Source organism: Homo sapiens, chromosome 17, assembly GCF_000001405.40.
Source record: "Homo sapiens chromosome 17, GRCh38.p14 Primary Assembly".
Taxonomy (NCBI): Eukaryota; Metazoa; Chordata; class Mammalia; order Primates; family Hominidae; genus Homo; species Homo sapiens.
In genome coordinates this window covers 66,803,331-66,820,534 of record NC_000017.11, presented here as the reverse complement: position 1 = coordinate 66,820,534, position 17,204 = coordinate 66,803,331, and the positions used below count along the sequence as shown (strand labels likewise).

Genomic DNA, 17,204 nt, shown 5'->3' with positions numbered 1-17,204 from the left:
GGTTGGGTCCATCTGTGTTTACTGCCACCCAAAGAGGCGGAGCAAAACAAACATCTCGTACCTAAGTCTTTGGTGCATTTTTGGTTATTTCTTTAGAGGAAAAAGATCCCCCAAAGCAGAATTGCTGTGTGTAAGCACATTTTTAAGACTCTTGTTACTTAGTGCCAAATTGCCCTCTAAAAAAGATTGTACCAATTTATATTCCCACCCACAGGGCATGAGAGGGCAGACTTTCCCAATTCTTGCCAAAATTGGGATTTAATCTTTCAAGAAAGCATATTTTCTGCCAAGTTAACAGATAAAAACATGGTATTTCATTGTTCTTTTCCTCCAGGAATTCTAAATTCTTTTTTTGGACCAAGTTGGACTAGATAATTGGTTATTTACCTGGAGACTTGGGTTGAGTTTCTTGGTCGGTCACCTTCATGAAGTTGTATTTTAATATGCCCCAAACTTGACGAAGAACACTAAAAAAAGGCTTTATGAAATTTGATAGTGCATTTATTGTTTCAACAAAACTTCAAAATGTTGTTGAGGACATCATTTCTGATATTGCTTGGTGTCTTTTCTAGGTAATAAAATTATACTCAAGAAATTCCTTTTGGATTCAGTGCTAGGAAAAGCTTTATTTCCCAAAGGAACACATATGCTTCCTCTTTTCCAGTAATGACAATCACATAAGTGACCATGGTTCCCACTTTTATTGGCTGTTAGAAAATGCAAAGCCAAGTTTGAGAATCAACAACAGCAATTTTGTTGACTCTTGCGGAAAAGGGATGTGTTGTAGTTTGTTTAATATTGCTGTAACAGAATGCCTGAGGCTGGGTGATTTATAAAGAAAAGAGGTTTCTTTAGCTTATTGTTCTGCAGGCTGAGAAGTTCAAGGCCATGGCCCTGGTTTCAGTGAGGGCTTTTGTGCCGCGTCACCACATGGCAGAACGTCAAAGGGGAAGCAGACACCTGAAAAGGGGCAAAACCCGAGGGGCATCCTGGCTTTCACACAGCCCGCTCAGGAGGGAACTAATCTATTCCTGAGAGAACTCACTCCCTACTTTGAGAAGAGCACCATGCCATTCATGAGGGATCTGCCCCATGACCCAAACACCTCGCACTGGCTCCCAATTCTCAAACGCTGCCACACTGGAGATCAACTTTCAACATGAGTTTTGGTGAGGACAAACTACATCCAGACCACAGCATTCTGCCCCTGGCCCCATGAAACTCATGTCCTTTTCCCATGAAAAATACAATCAGTGCATCCCAATAGGCTTCAAAGTCTTGACTTGTTTCAGCATCAACTTAAAAGTCCAAAGTCTCATCTGAGACCTAAGGCAAGCTCCTTCCAGCTATGAGCCTGTAAAATAAAAAGCAAGTTATCTGCTTCCAAGACAAAACAGTGGCGCAGACATTTGGTAAATATTCCCGTCCCAAAAGAGACAAATAGGCCAATAGAAAAGAGTAACAGGCCCCACACAAGTCTGAAACACAGCAGGGCAGACATTAAATCTTTTTTTTTTTTTTTTGAGACAGTCTCACTCTGTTACCCAGACTGGAGTGCAGTGGTGCCATCTCAGCTCACTGAAAGCTCCGCCTCTTGGGTTCACACCATTCTCCTGCCTCAGCCTCCTGAGTAGCTGGGACTACAGGTGCCCGCCACCACACCCGGCTAATTTTTTGTATTTTTAGTAGAGACGAGGTTTCACCATGTTAGCCAGGATGGTCTCGATCTCCTGACCTCATGATCCGCCCGCCTCAGCCTCCCAAAGTGCTGGGATTACAGGCATGAGCCACCACACCTGGCCAAACATTAAATCTTAAAGCTTCATAATAATCTCCTTTGTCTCTATGTCCCACAACCTGGAGGCGCTGGTTCCAGGGCTGGGCTTGCAAAGGCCTCAGGCCTTTATGTCTAGTATGCTGCCATGTCTTTGTTGGGTGCAGCCCATGTGGCTACTTCCATGGGTTGCAGTTGGGTGCCTGTGGTTTTGCCAGATGGATGTTGTATGCTGCCAATGGCTCTATAGTTCTGGGGTCCCAATGGTGACCCTGCTCCACACTAGGCATTGCCTCAGTGAGAACTGTCTGTGGTGGCAGGTTTCTCCCTGGGCTCCCAGGCATTTTGATATATCTGTGAAATCTAGGTGGAAGCCACCACACTTCTACCACTCTTGGTTTCTGCACACCTGGCCTGCAGAACTAGTACCAAGTGGACATGGATGCCCCAGCCCTGCACTGCTTTGTGACTGCTTCCTGCTCAAGCAGCCCCAGGTTCGACTCATGCCTCCACTCCAAAGAGCCTAAGTGGTAAGCATTGGTGTCATCATCATTTCCATCTGACACCTCATTATCATGGCCTTTACTGTCCACGTTTCTATTGGCATTCTGGTCATAAACACTTAACCAGTCTCTTAGAAGTTCCAGCTTATCTTCTAAGCCCTCACCAGAATTGTCCTTAATGCTCCACTCCAAGCAATGCAATCTCTTTAATGCCTGTTCCTTCAAACTCTTCTAACCTCTGCTCATTATCCTGTTCCAAAAGCCACTTCCACATTTTCAGGTATCTTTATAGCAACACCCCACTCTTGGTACCAGTTTTCTGTCTTTATCCATTTTGTGTTGCTATAACAGAACACCTGAGACTGAGTAGTTTATAAAGAAGCAATTTGGCTTATAATTCTGGTGTCTAGAAAGTTCAAGATTTGGCATATGCATCTGGTGAGGGACTCAGACTGGTTCAACTCATGGCGGGGGAGTTGAAAGTGGAAGGGGAGCTGGCATGTGCAAAGAGATCACTTGGTAAGAGAGGACGCAAGAGAGCAAAATCAACGAAGTCAGACTCAGACTATTTTTAACAACCCACTCTTCATGGAATATCCTTTCCCTTGAGAGTGAGAACTCACTCACCCCTAAGGGAGGACATTAGCCTATTCATGAGAAATCCACTCCCATGACCCACATACCTCCCATAGGCCCCACCTCCCAACACTGCCATAATGGAGATCAAATTTCATCATGAGTTTCGGTGGGGACAAACAAACCATATCCAAATCATGGCAAGATATTTGTATTGACCTTCGTCCTGATGTACTCTTATTTCATTATTCACTTGAAGTCTTTTACTTGAAAGCCACTTAAAAATCTATAAAAAGAGGCAAAAATCAAAAACACTCCTGGCTATGAGCCCTGGTAGTCACTGAACCCCTGGTGCAGAGTTTAAAGCTCACATAAATATTTGTTGACCGAATGAAGGCACTTGATAACAAACCAACTAAGAACAGCATGACATTGAAAAGAAACACTCGTTACTACTTGATCTGAGAGCAAGAAAATGTCACCATAGAAAACAAGGCTTTGGCCAGGTGTGGTGGCTCATGCCTGTAATCCCAGCACTTTGGGAGGCCGAGGCAGGCAGATCACTTGAAGTCAGGAGTTTGAGACCAGCCTCTGGCCAACATGATGAAATCTTGACTCTACCAGAAAAAGACAAAAATTAGCCAGGCGTGGTGGTGCATGCCTGTAGTCCCAGCTACTTGGAAGGCTGGGACAGAAGGATTGTTTAAACCCAGGAGACGAAGGCTTCAGTGAGCTGAGACTGCATCACTGCACTCCAGCCTGGGTGACAGAGAGAGACTTCATCTAAAAAAAAAAGAAAAGAAAAGAAAACAGGGTTCAAGAAGAAAAACAGGAAATAAGAAGTACCAAGAGTCTAAAAAATGTTCAGCTATTGGCCGGGTGCAGTGGCTCACGCCTGTAATCCCAGCACTTTGGGAGGCCGACGTGGGTGGATCACGAGGTCAGGAGATCGAGATCATCCTGACTAACACGGTGAAACCCCGTCTCTACTAAAAATATAAAAAGTTAGCCGGGCGTGGTGGCGGGCGCCTGTAGTCCCAGCTACTCGGAAGGCTGAGGCAGGAGAATGGCAGAGCTTGCAGTGAGCCAGGATCGCACCACTGCACTCCAGCCTGGACGACAGAGTGAGACTCCGTCTCAAAAAAAAAAAAAAAAAAAAAAGTTCAGCTATTGTATTTCCAGGAATCCAGTGGAAGATATAATCTAAAATGCATTCAAAATTTTGGGAACAAAGGTGTTCAACAATGAGTTTTCAAAATAATTTAAAAACCAGGAAAACCTAAAATTCCAACAATAGGGGAATTAGTAAGAAAATGTCAATTTCATTCCCAAAACATTGAATGTCTGCTACGTTGCTTTGTAGTTAAGTAATTAATCAAATTCCACATAAACCAATGAAATACAAGTGCAAAGCATAGAGTTGTTTCAGTGAACACAAAATGGAATGTTTAAGAAAAAGAATAACGAGTTTTTAAAAACAGCTACAGAGACAGTTGTGGGCAAGGCAACTGTAAAAGATTAAGAAATATTGCAACAATCTAAATGGACTTTGCATTCAGCTTTCTTTGTGAATATCTGGCTTCTCTTCGAATAAACCCTAACTGGAAACTGTAAGACAAGTATTATGGGTATAGTTAATGCAAGAAAGAAATTCCCTGCTCAGAGAGAAGTCCCCACCCTTACTGAATGGTCATGCATTTATTGGCTTTTAAGTTACAATAAAGGCCAGGCACGGTGGCTCACACCTGTAATCCCAGCACTTTGGGAGGCTGAGGCGGGTGGATCACAAGGTCAGGAGTTCGAGACCAGCCTGGCCAACATAGTGAAAACCCGCCTCTGCTAAAAATACAAAAATTAGCCGGGCATGATGATGCAAACCTGTAGTCGCAGCTACTCGGGAGGTTGAGGCAGGATAATTGCTTGAACTCGGGGGGTGGAGGTTGCAGTGAGCCAAGATCACACCACTGCACTCCAGCCTGGGCAACAAAGTGAAACTCCGCCTCAAAAAAAAAAAAAGTCATAACAAAATGTTTAAAGGATGTGTGTGTTAACATCTGTGATCCTAGCTTTCAGTGACCAATGTCAAGGCCCAGTGGAGTCTCATAAGAGGGCTTTGAGGTTGATATGGTTTGTCTGTGTCCCCACCCAAATCTCATCTCGAATTGTAGCTCCCATAATTCCCATGTGTTGTGGGAGGGACTCAGTGGGAGATAATAGAATCATGGAGGCGGTTTCCCCCATACTATTCTCGTGGCAGTGAATAAGTCTCGTGAGATCTGATGGTTTTATCAAGGTTATCCCTTTCAGTTGATTCTCATTCTCTCTTGTCTGCCGTCATGTAAGACATGCCTTTCGCCTTCTATCATGATTGTGAGCACCCCACCCCCAGCCACGTGGAACTGTGAGTCCATTAAACCTCTTTTTCTTTGTAAATTACTCAGTCTCGTGTATGTCTCTATCAGCAGCGTGAAAACAGGCTAATACCATGGTACAGTCTTGAAAAGATAACAAGATGATGAATAATAAATAAAGTTAGCAAGGAATCAAAAAGTTTAACCATCTTGGGAAGTTGGGATTTTCTTTTCCTCATCTGTATTAGCTACAATAAGCAGGTGTTATTTTTTGTAAATTTTCCAAAAACCCAGAAGCATTCCCACAGTATTCTGACCTAACCAAGCCCAACCTTTCCTCCCCGGGCTGCCCAGTGCCCCCAAGAAATCAGTGATTTCTCACAAGTTGTTCTGCTCACTGGATGATGCTTGCCTTGGATTGTTTTTGACTCCTGGGGTAGGTGGAGCTGGGGTCTCAATGTAGGGCTGTCCTGTGGTGGGAGGGGGAGCCTGGGGCCCACCAGCCGTTCCTGCCCGCTTCCTCCTTCCTCCTGGGCCTTCCAGGCAAGTCAGTCAGGTGAGGGCGGCTGCAGAGGCACCTGCTGTGTTCTGAGAACTGTGATGCTATTTTTCTCTCTCCTCCCACGCCCAGACAGCTCCAAAAAAAAAAAAAATGTCGAGAGAAGGAGGGTGATGGTGGAAGAAAGCCTTCTGGAAACAGTTCCAGGAGGGCATCTAGTCTCATAGGCATCAGAGTCAGCTAAGGGCAAGGAACATCCCCCTTGGTAATAGGATGGACTTTGAATGAAACCACAGTGGGGGGAGAAGTTCCCCAACAGGGTCTGGCCCTGAAGCTCCCTACCCAATGCTACATCTGACCCTCTCATGGGACAAGGCTAGGAAGATCAGACTCAGTGCCCAGCCTGGCTGTGCTGCTTAGGAGTTGCGTATCTGGAAGCTGGTTAATTACTTTGGGGTTCAGTTTCTCCATCTGTGAGATGTGAACAATGGCCTCCAGCCCATGGAGGTGTCATGAGGATTAAATGAGATGGGTGTGTTCAGATGACAAGCTAGGCACTGCGCGCATGCCAGCCCTTCCCCTCCTCCCTGCGTGCTGGTGTCTGCTTGTTTGGGACCTCTCCTTTCCAGCCTTTCCATCAGACCTCAGCCTCCCTGCCTCCTCCCCCAGGAAGGCATCTGGCGTGCTCACATCTCTGCTCTTTCGGTTGGCTCCATTTGTCTGGTGTTGTTCACCTATGTGTTGTTATTTAAGTTCCCTGGAATTCCCTTTCTTCTTCTGTAAAATGGGCACAGTAAACAGCACCTATCTGGGGGCAGGGGCTGTCATTGTGGGATTGAAATAAATGCACATAAAGAACTTAGAAGAGTGCCTGGTACACTTCTGGTAATCAATCAGTGTGTGTGCCTCTGTGTGTGCACATGTGTCTGTGTGCATGCGTGTGTTTGCGTGTCTGTGTGCATGTGTGTGTGTGCATCTCTGTATGCATGTGTGTTCGTGTGTGTGTGCGTGCACAGTTTGCGCGTTCCCATTTACAGCCCCCTTTAGACTTTTGGTTTGTGCCATTTCCACCTGTCTGTTGAGTCCCTGAGCCCACCACTAGCTCTTTCATTTCACTAGAACCATTTTCCACTTTCTCCCCTTATGGCTAGAATAGGCCTCTTTGCAATGTATTTATTGAATTAGCTTTGTTAAAAAAAGAATCTTGGGGAGACATCCAGTTCTGCTTTCTTAGAGCCAAAAGCACTTCTCACCCACTCCCTGCAGGCAATGCCCTGCTCTCTGTGATGTGCACTCCCAGGATGGGGACAGAGTGTGAAAATAGATGGCCTTGGCCTTTGCCCGTGTGCATTAGCATTTTAGCTGAACCATAATTTCATCCCCAGAGCACACAATAAGCCAGGGGCAGGGGGGAAGCTCAGGGAGTTAAATAATCACTCAAGTGTAACCATAGGCAGCCATCGCCTCTAGATTCTGGGCTGAAGGACAGAGGTTGAGAACTGGTGTTTCCTAGGCTGAAGCTCATCATGAGTTTGAGAGATGATCTTTAATTAGTTCTTTTTTGTATATCTTATCTACTTCATTAGTGTGTGAACACCTCCAGGGCAAATCCCATGGCCCAGTAAGGGTGTCTGGAACACGTTGCTAGGCTCAGAGCAGTTTTGGGAACGATTAATTGACTCAGTCATTCAATGAACATTTTGAGCTCCTATTATCTACCAGGCTCTGCTCTAGGCACTGGGATGTAGCAGCAAACAGGATGGACAAGCCGGCTCCTCTTAGAGCTTCTATTCTCATGGGAAAGGGTGTGCGTATACACACACACACACACACACACAGAGAGAGAGAGAGAGAGAGAGAGAGAGACAGAGACAGAGAGAGAGAGAACTCACTCTCCCCAACCATTGAATCCTTGGTCCCAGAGCTGGGCATGTGAGGATGAAAGGCCATGAGGAAGGCTGGGTGATGGGAGCCACAGAGGGCTTTCAACAGGGAAGGGGCCTGCTCAGGCAAGGTCCTGCTGGCTGCTGAGCAGAGAGGGCCATGAGGGTCAAGGAGGCCAGAGAGAAAGAACAGGGGAGATGGAGAGAAGGGGAACTCGGAGTGTGTTTTAGAATAGGGTTTGTAACAGCAGCAGCGCCGACATTTGGGTGGGATGACACCTTGTTGAGGGCTGGGGGTATCCTGTGCATGGCAGGATGCTTAGCAGCGCCCCTGGCCTCTACCCACTCGATGCCAATGCAACTTCCTTCTAGTTATGATAACCAAAACAGTCTCCAGGCATTGCCAAGTGCCCCGTGGGTGGCTACATGGCCTCTGGCCGAGAACCCTGACTTAGAGTAGCCCCAACAGTGCCTGCTCATGAACTTGATGGGCATGGTGGGCATGTGACAGGGAGGCCAGTACTGGACAGAAGGACTCGTTTTTGAGCATCCACTTTGGGTGGCGCACAGTGCCCCTGGAAGAGCAATTGTCCACTGCCTGGTGCTCAGGTTGTCCCTGCTGCCTCTGTGGGGCCGGGAGGACCAGCCATATTGGATACACCCGAGACCTCCCTGCAGGGGTAAACTTGGGTGGAGCTACTCAGTTCCTCGGGTCACCAGCTGCCTGTGAGGATGCTGCTTGGTGGCCCACTCTGCTTCATTCCGCATTGCAGCAAAAATGAAATAAAACAGCACACTGGCGGAAGCAGAGGGCATGCTCAATGGCCATGGTAAGCTACTCTGCTGGGCAACGTAACGTGACGAATAGCCACAGCTACACACGTATGTGAGGTCAACCAGCCCGGAGTGAAGGTCAGGGCCAGCCCAGTGGGGCAGAGACCACATTGCTCTGAAGACCTGAAAATTGCCCTTTGTTTTTCTTCAAAATAGCTTCCCCGCCAGCCCTCGCATTGGCAGCTGAAAGAGCCTTCACTTCCAGGAGGTTGAGTGTGACCGCGGCATCTTAGGGAGGGAAAAATCCACTGAGAGGATGCTGACACTCGAGTAATCTGGCTGGGAGCAAGGCCCAGAGGGAAGAGAACGCAGGGAGGCATGTGTGTGGATGCAGAGTGTGCTGGGAGGAACAGGCTGGGCTGGGCGGCTGCAGGATTAGGGGGCTATGGGAGGGAGGGTGGCAGCAGTGGGTTGAAGCCATGAGCACGAGGGGAGAGCATTCCCCAAAAGGAGGTGAGGAAATCAGCAAAGATTGACTTTACCAAGGTTGGATCTTGGCTTTGGTGTTTGTTGTTGATTTTTTTTTTTAAGAGACAAGGTCTCCTTCTGTCACCCAGGCTACAGTGCAGTGGTGCAATCGTAGCTCACTGCAGCATTGACCTCCCGGCCTCAAGTGATCCTCCCACCTTGGCCTCCCAAAGTGCTGGGATTATGGGCATCAGCCACCATACCCAGCCTGTTTTAATTCTTTTTGAGGACAATTCCCTCTATTGCGTTGAGTTGTTAAGTGCTGGGTATTTTTGAATGTTCCACATTTGAACATTTCCCCCAATTTTTCAACCGTGAATAAATGCAGAACGAGGCGGCTGACACTCAGAGTGGGGACGGTCCTGAAGCTGCATCCACAGTGTGGCCAACGGGATGTGTGAAAAATACCTATTTTTGGAGAAAACATCTCCAGACTTGAGCAGAATTCATTCTGGAATCGTTCCTTCCAGGGGAAGGGCACCATCCAGCCTTAGATGATGTCATCAGTTGCTGGGCATCCCTTGCAGTTTGGGGCAGAAGACTGTAAGCTCCGTGCAGGCAGGGGCCATGCCAGCCTCTTCTTCTCCAGGGCCTGACACAACTCCTGGCCCTAAGCAGGGGCTCTGTGAACAGTGCATGAATGAATGAACGCAGGACCTGCCAGAACGCCATCCCAGTCACTGTCTGGGCTTTGATTCAAAGCAAGATATATTTTTTAAGTAAAAAAAAAAAAAAAAAAAAAAAAAAAATGCCACTATAAATGGAGGGTCATGCCTGAAAAACAGGTGAAGAGATGAAAGTGTTCTGCGGAGTGTGTCTGAAGTCAAATGCTATTTTTTGAACACTGGAGGAAAAATAATTGCCATACCGCAAAGGGATGTAAATAAGGCCAACTACACAAAGGAATGATCATTATCTTTATTCATACACACTTGCTTCCAAACTACAATTAATGTTTCTAACAAAGCGTATCATGCAAACGGAGATTAGAGGTTATACAAACTGAAAAAAAAAGCAATGCAGTAATTTACACATCCGTCTCCTCTGCGATATAACCAAATGGTGTTTGACGGTTGAATGGCCTCTACATTTTGTCAGTAGGTGCTTATACAGAAGGAAAAACCTCAACCTCCGTCTCTTCCTCCAAACAAAGTTGGGGCTTATATGATGTTTTTCAATTAATGATTTAAACGTGGTATGTCCTTCACACACACAAATCATGTAGCAAAAGCAATGACTTCAAATGCTTCTGTTTATAAAAGATATTCTGAAAGACCCTAACAGAAGGGATGTGAGGTTAATTTTTAGAAAACCTTTAGACTCAAAATAGTAACTGCCTTCATGATTGATTTTGAATATTCTAGTAAACCAACCCTTCAAGAAAAGAATGATATTCTTCCAGGAAGAATATCAACAAAAGTCTACAATCACAGGAATGGATACTCCTAAAGTTAAGCAGAGGTGACAAAGACACAGTCGTTTAATCAGAAAATGCAAAGCCACCTTTTATCTTATTTTAGAAAAAAAGGTTCTTATAAAGTGGACTTGACACCTATTTTCTGAAAAGCCGAGTTCTGTCTACTCGCGTAAGTGGTAACTATGAAACAGACGTCAATAGGCACGTTTGCTGCTGCCTCTTATATCTTGGGAGATCGAAGTATTTCTGAGTTGCCCAGTGGGCAAAATCCTTACAGGGCATCTCTGAATCTTCACCCAAGGTGAGAGACCTGGGGACCAGGCGGGTCTGGGCACAGAGCCAAGGAAGCATCCTCCTCCTGCCAAAAGATGGCCACAGAGCCTCACGGAGCAAGGAAAGGGGTCCCAGAAACCCCTGGGAATCCTATTCCAGGGCTGCCTCTGGATGGGGGACACTAAAAATGTCTTTCCTGTGGTTTGGAAGTTTCTAAACCTTAAGCAGTTGTCCCCAGTGTCTATTAAAAACTCGCAGAGCATCAGTCGGCCAAGTTCCACCTGAACTTGCAGTCATTCCCACGTGGACTCCATACCCTAGGAGCATGGGAAAATCTGGCAGTGGGAGATCAGGTCGGGGGTGCTCCAGCTGACCCAGGCTAAGTCCTCCTACAAGCTCCAGGGCATTGGAATCTTAGGAAATCGTCAGTTGCTTTGTTCTAAAAACTCATTTTTAAAGAATTATTATTAAAGTTCTCTATAAAAAAGTACAAATAGCCCAGTATATTCAGTTGCTCTACTGGAATTAACAAATAATTTCTTCCTTTAGGTTAAGAAAAAGTCTTTGGAATTTGGGGGCTTTTGTGTAGGGTCACTGTAAGGCTGTTGGATGGCTGAGTGTGACCTCCACGGTTATTAACTGTCACCTGATCACATAAATGGGAGGCACAGGGGTCAGAATCCTTCATACTGTTGACCTTCCCGAAGAATCCCTGACACTACGGAATTAACACAATTGTGGTTGACCCCATTTCTAGATGATGGCCTTCATCCATGTGTGCGTCAGGTAACCTTCCCAATTTCCTGGATCTTCTAGCAGCAGAAACAGGTAACATTCCCTGGATCTGCTGCATCAGCCCAAATGGGAGGAGACAGGAATGTTGACCGTCCAGTGTATTTCACATGTAGCCCAAGCAGCTTAAGGAAAATGACTTTAAAAAAATATTTTGGCTGGGCGTGGTGGCTCATGCCTGTAATCCCAGCACTTTGGGAGGCCGAGGCAGGCAGATCATGAGGTCAGGGGTTCAAGACCATCCTGGCCAACATGGTGAAACCCCATCTCTACTAAAAACACAAAATTTAGCTGGGTGTGGTGGCACGCACCTGTAGTCCCAGGTACTTGGGAGGCTGAGGCAGGAGAATCGCTTGAACCTGGGAGGTGGAGGTTGCAGTGAGCCGAGATTGTACCACCGCACTCCAGCCTGGGCAACAAGAGTGAAACTCCATCTCAAAATAAATAAATAAATAAATAAAAATTTCGCAACACTCCTTGTCAAATTGGTGTGTGGCCACTAACAACAGAGCACCCTTGTCCTTCCTGGTGACTGTCATGCCTACTGCTGTCCCGGTAACTCTCATGATCACACCCTTTGGGCCCCTGGCTCAGTGTCTGTTTTGTGATTACGATTGTCTGGTGTGCCCAGCAGGGGAAACAGGCACTCCTACCCTTGTCGGGTTATAAAGAAACAGGAAATGGTGTGATGTGCACACACAAGAAATAGGTGACTTTAGAAGACCAACGTGAGAAAATGACTGTCAGATGGTATCACCTTTCCGAGGCTTTTAAAAATACAAGATTGTCACTTTTTCTCTTTTCAGTACTGAGAAAACAAATTCCAGCAAAAAAAAAAAAAACAGGAACAAAAACAAAAAAAACCCTCCGAAATGTCTCCTGCTAAGTGGAACCCAGGTGGGAACTGCGGTGTTAGTTGTTAGTTGTGCGGTGTTAGTTGTTTTTACTTCTCCATTCATCCTCAGCTGCCATAATTCTTGGCAGGAAGCCAGAGAGGAAAATGGGCAGGAACCTACTGGCCTCTGGGGTACACTGGATGGTCTGGCTCTGCCCAGAGAACTATGAGCTACTTCAAGGTGGGGAGGGGAAAGGGGCTTCTAGCAGCTGGTGGGGATGTTGTTAGCATTTGGGGGGTGTTTTCTGAGGAGGAACAGACTGTGTCCCTGGCAAAACACTCTCTTGAGGGCCAGCAGACAGAAACTTCCATCTGCACCAACCACCTCCGATGGGAAGCCGTTGACGGTGGCACCCCTTCCTCTCCCTCCTACTGCAGGCATATTTCTGGATGCACCCAAACCCTGTTCTTCTCTGGCTCCTTCCTGACTACAGCCCCCGCCTCCCTCTCCCTTCTCAGCACGTCCGTTGGGGGGGCTCTCTGGAAGTCTGCATCCTCCTTCCAGGAAGTCACCACACTCGCCTAAGGACTTTGGCTCCGAGAGGTGCTCAACAATCATTTGTTGGGCTGCATGAACCTTGGTCTTTCCGGCCAGGCTTCCAGAGCTCTTGGCCCCATGGTTTTCTATCAAAATTCTGAGTAAGAAAGCCTAATACGTGGCATCAGAAAGGGCAGACAGTGGCCCTGCATGGACCACACGAGGCCAGTGGATGAAAGGAAGGGAAGCACTGCCGGAGCAATAATTTTGACTCCTGTGGTTTCTGATCTGCCTTTTGAATTAGTTCTTGCCTGGATGTGGGCCTCTCATTAACCTTGGAGGGCGGCCCCTGGCAGCACTCCAGTGACTTCCTTTCAAACCCAGCACCTGGTGACCTTCAATTGAAATGCCAAGAGACGGGCTGCCAGCCCACGGCCTGCAGCCTCAGGGAAAGGCCCTGCCACCGAGGAGTGGCCACCTTCCAAGGGAAGATAATGCAGAGCCATTTGAATGGCCTGGTGTGGTCATAGCTCCATGGGTCCTGCGGGGATTCGGACGGTGCTAGATTCTGCCAGGCGGCCTAGACCTCCACAGGCCCTGGCAATCAGGCAGTGCTCAGGGGCAAGGACTTCCCAAAGCATCCCCCAGGGACCTCCTGCGTGGCTGCGGCAGTTCCACAGCGCACCCCTCGCCACCATCTCATTTCACACAATACCCACGAAGGGGCCAGTACCATAGAATTTTATGAACTGATTCTGAGGCGAGCCATTGCTCATGGTTATCTACATGACAGTCTTCCAACAATAACTGTCTTTGGCTGCTGAGATCTGGAAAGCCCTAACCATTACCCACATTCAACACTCAGCAATGGATAAAGCAGGTTCCACATGACAACACTGCACCGGGCCCTGATTTTGACTGTTTCTCTCTGGGGGTTTGTTCTGATGTCTGTTGTCCCTCAGGCAGTGTGCTGGGCACCCCTGTCGGGGCATTTTCTTGGAAAACTTTGCCATATGGTCTGAGAGAGTAACAGCCAGCTGAGACAGTGAATGTGTTTCCTAGAGAAACAAACTTGTGGGTGTTGGGGTTGCAGGGAAGGCCTAAGCCTGCTGCCTGCTTTAAACAGGCAGGCTGTTTGGGGTGCTGAACAAGGGTCCCTAACCTCATGTGTTCCTCCGTGGGATCTTCCTCCTCTCTGGGGGGCCTCGTGGGGGTCTGTCCTGCTGCTGCTCCATTCTGGGCAGGGGGACTGGCCCTTTTGTCTCCTAGGCTCTTTCTATAAACCAGTCCCTTTCCCCTCGGATCAAAGGAGGAGCACCTGGTCAGGACACGAACCCAGATCATGCACTGACCTGCAGGGCTGCAGGGACAGGGGAGCCAGGACCCCCTGGAGTCTCGATGTCTATGGTGCATAAAAGATGGCAGAAGAAATGGTTCTTTTCTGGCCGGGCCCGTTCCCTACCCCGTCTCTCCTTCTACTCAGGGTTGCCAGGACCACCTGGGCCTCTCACCTCAAAAAGCCTTTCATGGTTGTGTGTTCTGTGAACTTCAGGCAAACAGCCAGAGGAGAAAAATAATGCGAGCTTAGCTGGGAGATGCTTCTGGGAGGAAACAGAGCGGCTCTCTACAAGGACTGACAGCTACTTTCATTCTGTTTCTGTTTGTGGTAGAACCCGGCTACTCTGAGGACCTTGCATGGGGGTGTCTCACCAAAGCAGCGCGCTCCTCCCAAGACTGGAAAGGCCAATGCCACAATGGCTGGAAGAAAGTCCGCAGCCTCTGAAAAGCACGTGCTGGTGCCTGCAGGGCACGGCTGTGTTGGTCTCACGAAGTTTGTGCATGCTGGAGCAAACGACAGGTCGTTGCAGAGGCAGCAAGACAGCATGCTTCCTGCGTGTCCAGTACACACAGCAAGAGGGGAGTCTCCCCATCCCTCCCACCCCTGGAGTCAGCAACAGTCACAGGCTGAAGGGAAGAAGGAAACACACACACACGCACACACAAAGGTCAGCCCAGGTGCTGCGGCAATGCCACGTGTGTACCAACGTACTAGGCAGACTGGAATCAGACACTTCCTGTTGTCCCCAAGAGGAAGAGTGGCGGAGGAACCAGGACGAAAGGTGACATGAAGAAACTAAGAGGGAGTGTCAGCTCAAAAATAGTCCTCACCAATAAAAATTTGTTTGCAGGTAGAATCAAATACATATATATACACACACATATGTAGTAAGAGCCTAATCTATCACGTAAACTAGCCATTCATTTTTGAAATTTTATCTACATTTAAAAAGTAATCTATCTGATACAGTGCCCATGTGCAGGGAGGGAAAGCACAGAAGCAAGGGATTCAGCTAAAACTTAATTAGAAAAGAGGATTAGAAACAAGAACCTGCACAAATAGAGCACAATTGTGTCTTATAAAATTATTATAATACTCTCTTTATACTTGATACGATTATATCAATAATATAGATTCACTTGTTATTAAGGTTTATTATAAACATGCAAAATTCATTGCATGATGCATTTGCAAAACGTATTAAAATCCTTCTATTAACAAAACATCTTTGAGCTGTTAGGCATCCGGGTTTCCTGATTCTACAGCTCCAGGCCTGTCATTCAACGTGAACTAGAAATGGGAACCAAAACCATATTCTTTTTATCCCTAAGTGGACATCCAGGGCTAGAGAAGGGAGGAAAATCAATCGGTAGAGGCTGATGCTAGAGTCAGCACTTCCATTAAGTTACTGTACATCGTACTTTCATAAGCGACACTGCAGCCTATTAAATAAATAAGCACAAAAGGGGAGAGGGCGTACACTTCAGCTTCTTGAGAAGGATAACAAGGTAGGCAGCAAAATGTTGGTGTGTGTGGGGGTGGGTGTTGGTGAACAACACTGGTGAGTAGTGGCATGATTACTGATGGCACCCTGGATGGAAAAATAATCTCCCAGAGATTAAAATGAACATATGTACACACTGGCTTATCCTTGATCTGAAATGATTTCACACGCTTGTTCAGCAACGTCCTTAGACGATTTGGCCTCTTACAAAGAATGAAAAGTATCAAGACAGTTATCAACCAAGGAGGGTACCAGATGACAGATTCACCCAACACTCATCTGAGGTTTTTTTGTTTAAACTGGTAACTGCTGGACCATGGTTGGGTTAGGATTTGTCAATGTTTGGGAACAGTGATTAGGTTTATCCCGGCCTTTCAGATTCTAGGGGCTGTTTCCATGGAGGCAGAGAATGGACGCAGTCGGTATTTTGAGGCCTCCCCCACCCCCAATCCCTCCCTGCTCACTCTCTTGGCTTCCTGTTCTTGGATTCCAAAGACGTCTTGGGTGGAGATGTTTCCTGGGACAGGCTCACTTTAACATCTCTGGTTGGGGGATTCCAATGCTGAAAAATCCACAGATGGAGGGTATGGAAAGTATATCAAATTGTACCCAAAATGGGGCAACAGTCTGCTTGCTTTCTAGGAAGGGTTAACCTAGAGCCAGACGTAACTTCTACAGAATTAAACTGGACACTGAGCATGACGTACCATCTTCCACTAAGATAATGTTCTTGGTTGTAAGAGAGAGACCCTGAACAGTTGATCACATTTGGACTAATAACCCTACAATTTTCAGGCCTCCATATGGAATCAGACACAAGGCCGTGGCCTTAAAATTTTAGGGTTAAGGATTCACTTCCCACTGCGGGGAGGGCTGGGGGCTGGGGAGGTGTTTGTTCTCGCTGGTGAGTTTCATACTGCACTCTGTAAGATGGGGTGCACAAACTGGGGGTTGACATACGAGAACCCTTCAAAATCAGACTGGTCTATGTTAGCAATAACCAGCTGATCAGGTGGTGTTAAGACGGGCTGTCCTCGTGTGAAGAACTTGTCAAAGTTCTCTGCTCCTTTGCCACACTGTGGAGAAAAGACAAAAAGAAGGAAAGGTCAGTCAACATGACAATGCGGGAGCAGCTCTCCGAGGGCCCTCTCTGGGGAGGGGCACGGCCCTGGGGAACTCCGGGCTGGTTAGGAGGAGGAATCTCGGAGGACTTGCAGGCCTATTGGATTGAAAAGCCAGGCACAGCAGACAACAACGAGTTACCCAACTGTAAACCCTGAAACACCCCGAACAGAAGCCCTGGGTGGGAATTGCACGGCTGGCAATGAGGCAGCAACAAGGGGACAGCCCCTGTCCCCTCACGTCCACCTCACCGAGCAAGCGGAGCTGAGAGCACGGAAGCCACGCACGCAGGGCCGTCAGTCACAGCTCCGTGTTGAAAGGCCAGGATGTCGGCTGGGGCTGCAGGCAGTTACCCCTGGACCAAGCGACGGGGTGAGTTACTGCCCCACATCTGTTTTTTTGCCGCAATATTTGTAGTGAAGTAAAAACTGTGTTATCCTTGCCTTCCTACTGGGCTGCTCCAGCAACCCCAGCCCCTAAATTAAGCTTCAAGCGA

The 17,204-nt window shown here is 47.4% G+C and overlaps 1 protein-coding gene across 5 annotated transcripts in view, besides 1 other annotated feature; it reads right to left on the bottom strand.

The window, feature by feature from the left end:
* Positions 9,792–17,204, bottom strand: part of PRKCA (protein kinase C alpha) — a 508,131-nt gene continuing 500,718 nt past the window's right edge. For all 5 annotated transcript variants that reach the window (XM_047436388.1, NM_002737.3, XM_017024837.2 and 2 more), the window contains one exon: positions 9,792–16,662. In XM_047436388.1, coding sequence (XP_047292344.1) covers positions 16,498–16,662 — 165 coding nt within the window. In that variant the 3' untranslated portion in view covers positions 9,792–16,497. The remainder of the gene's footprint in view (positions 16,663–17,204) is intronic.
* Positions 12,766–13,615: an enhancer, noted in NCBI's record as "H3K27ac-H3K4me1 hESC enhancer chr17:64803038-64803887 (GRCh37/hg19 assembly coordinates)". NCBI's record gives its function as "activates a minimal SCP1, AML or CMV promoter by ChIP-STARR-seq in naive H9 embryonic stem cells {active_cell/tissue: H9 hESC(naive)}" and the evidence as "EXISTENCE:reporter gene assay evidence [ECO:0000049][PMID:30033119]".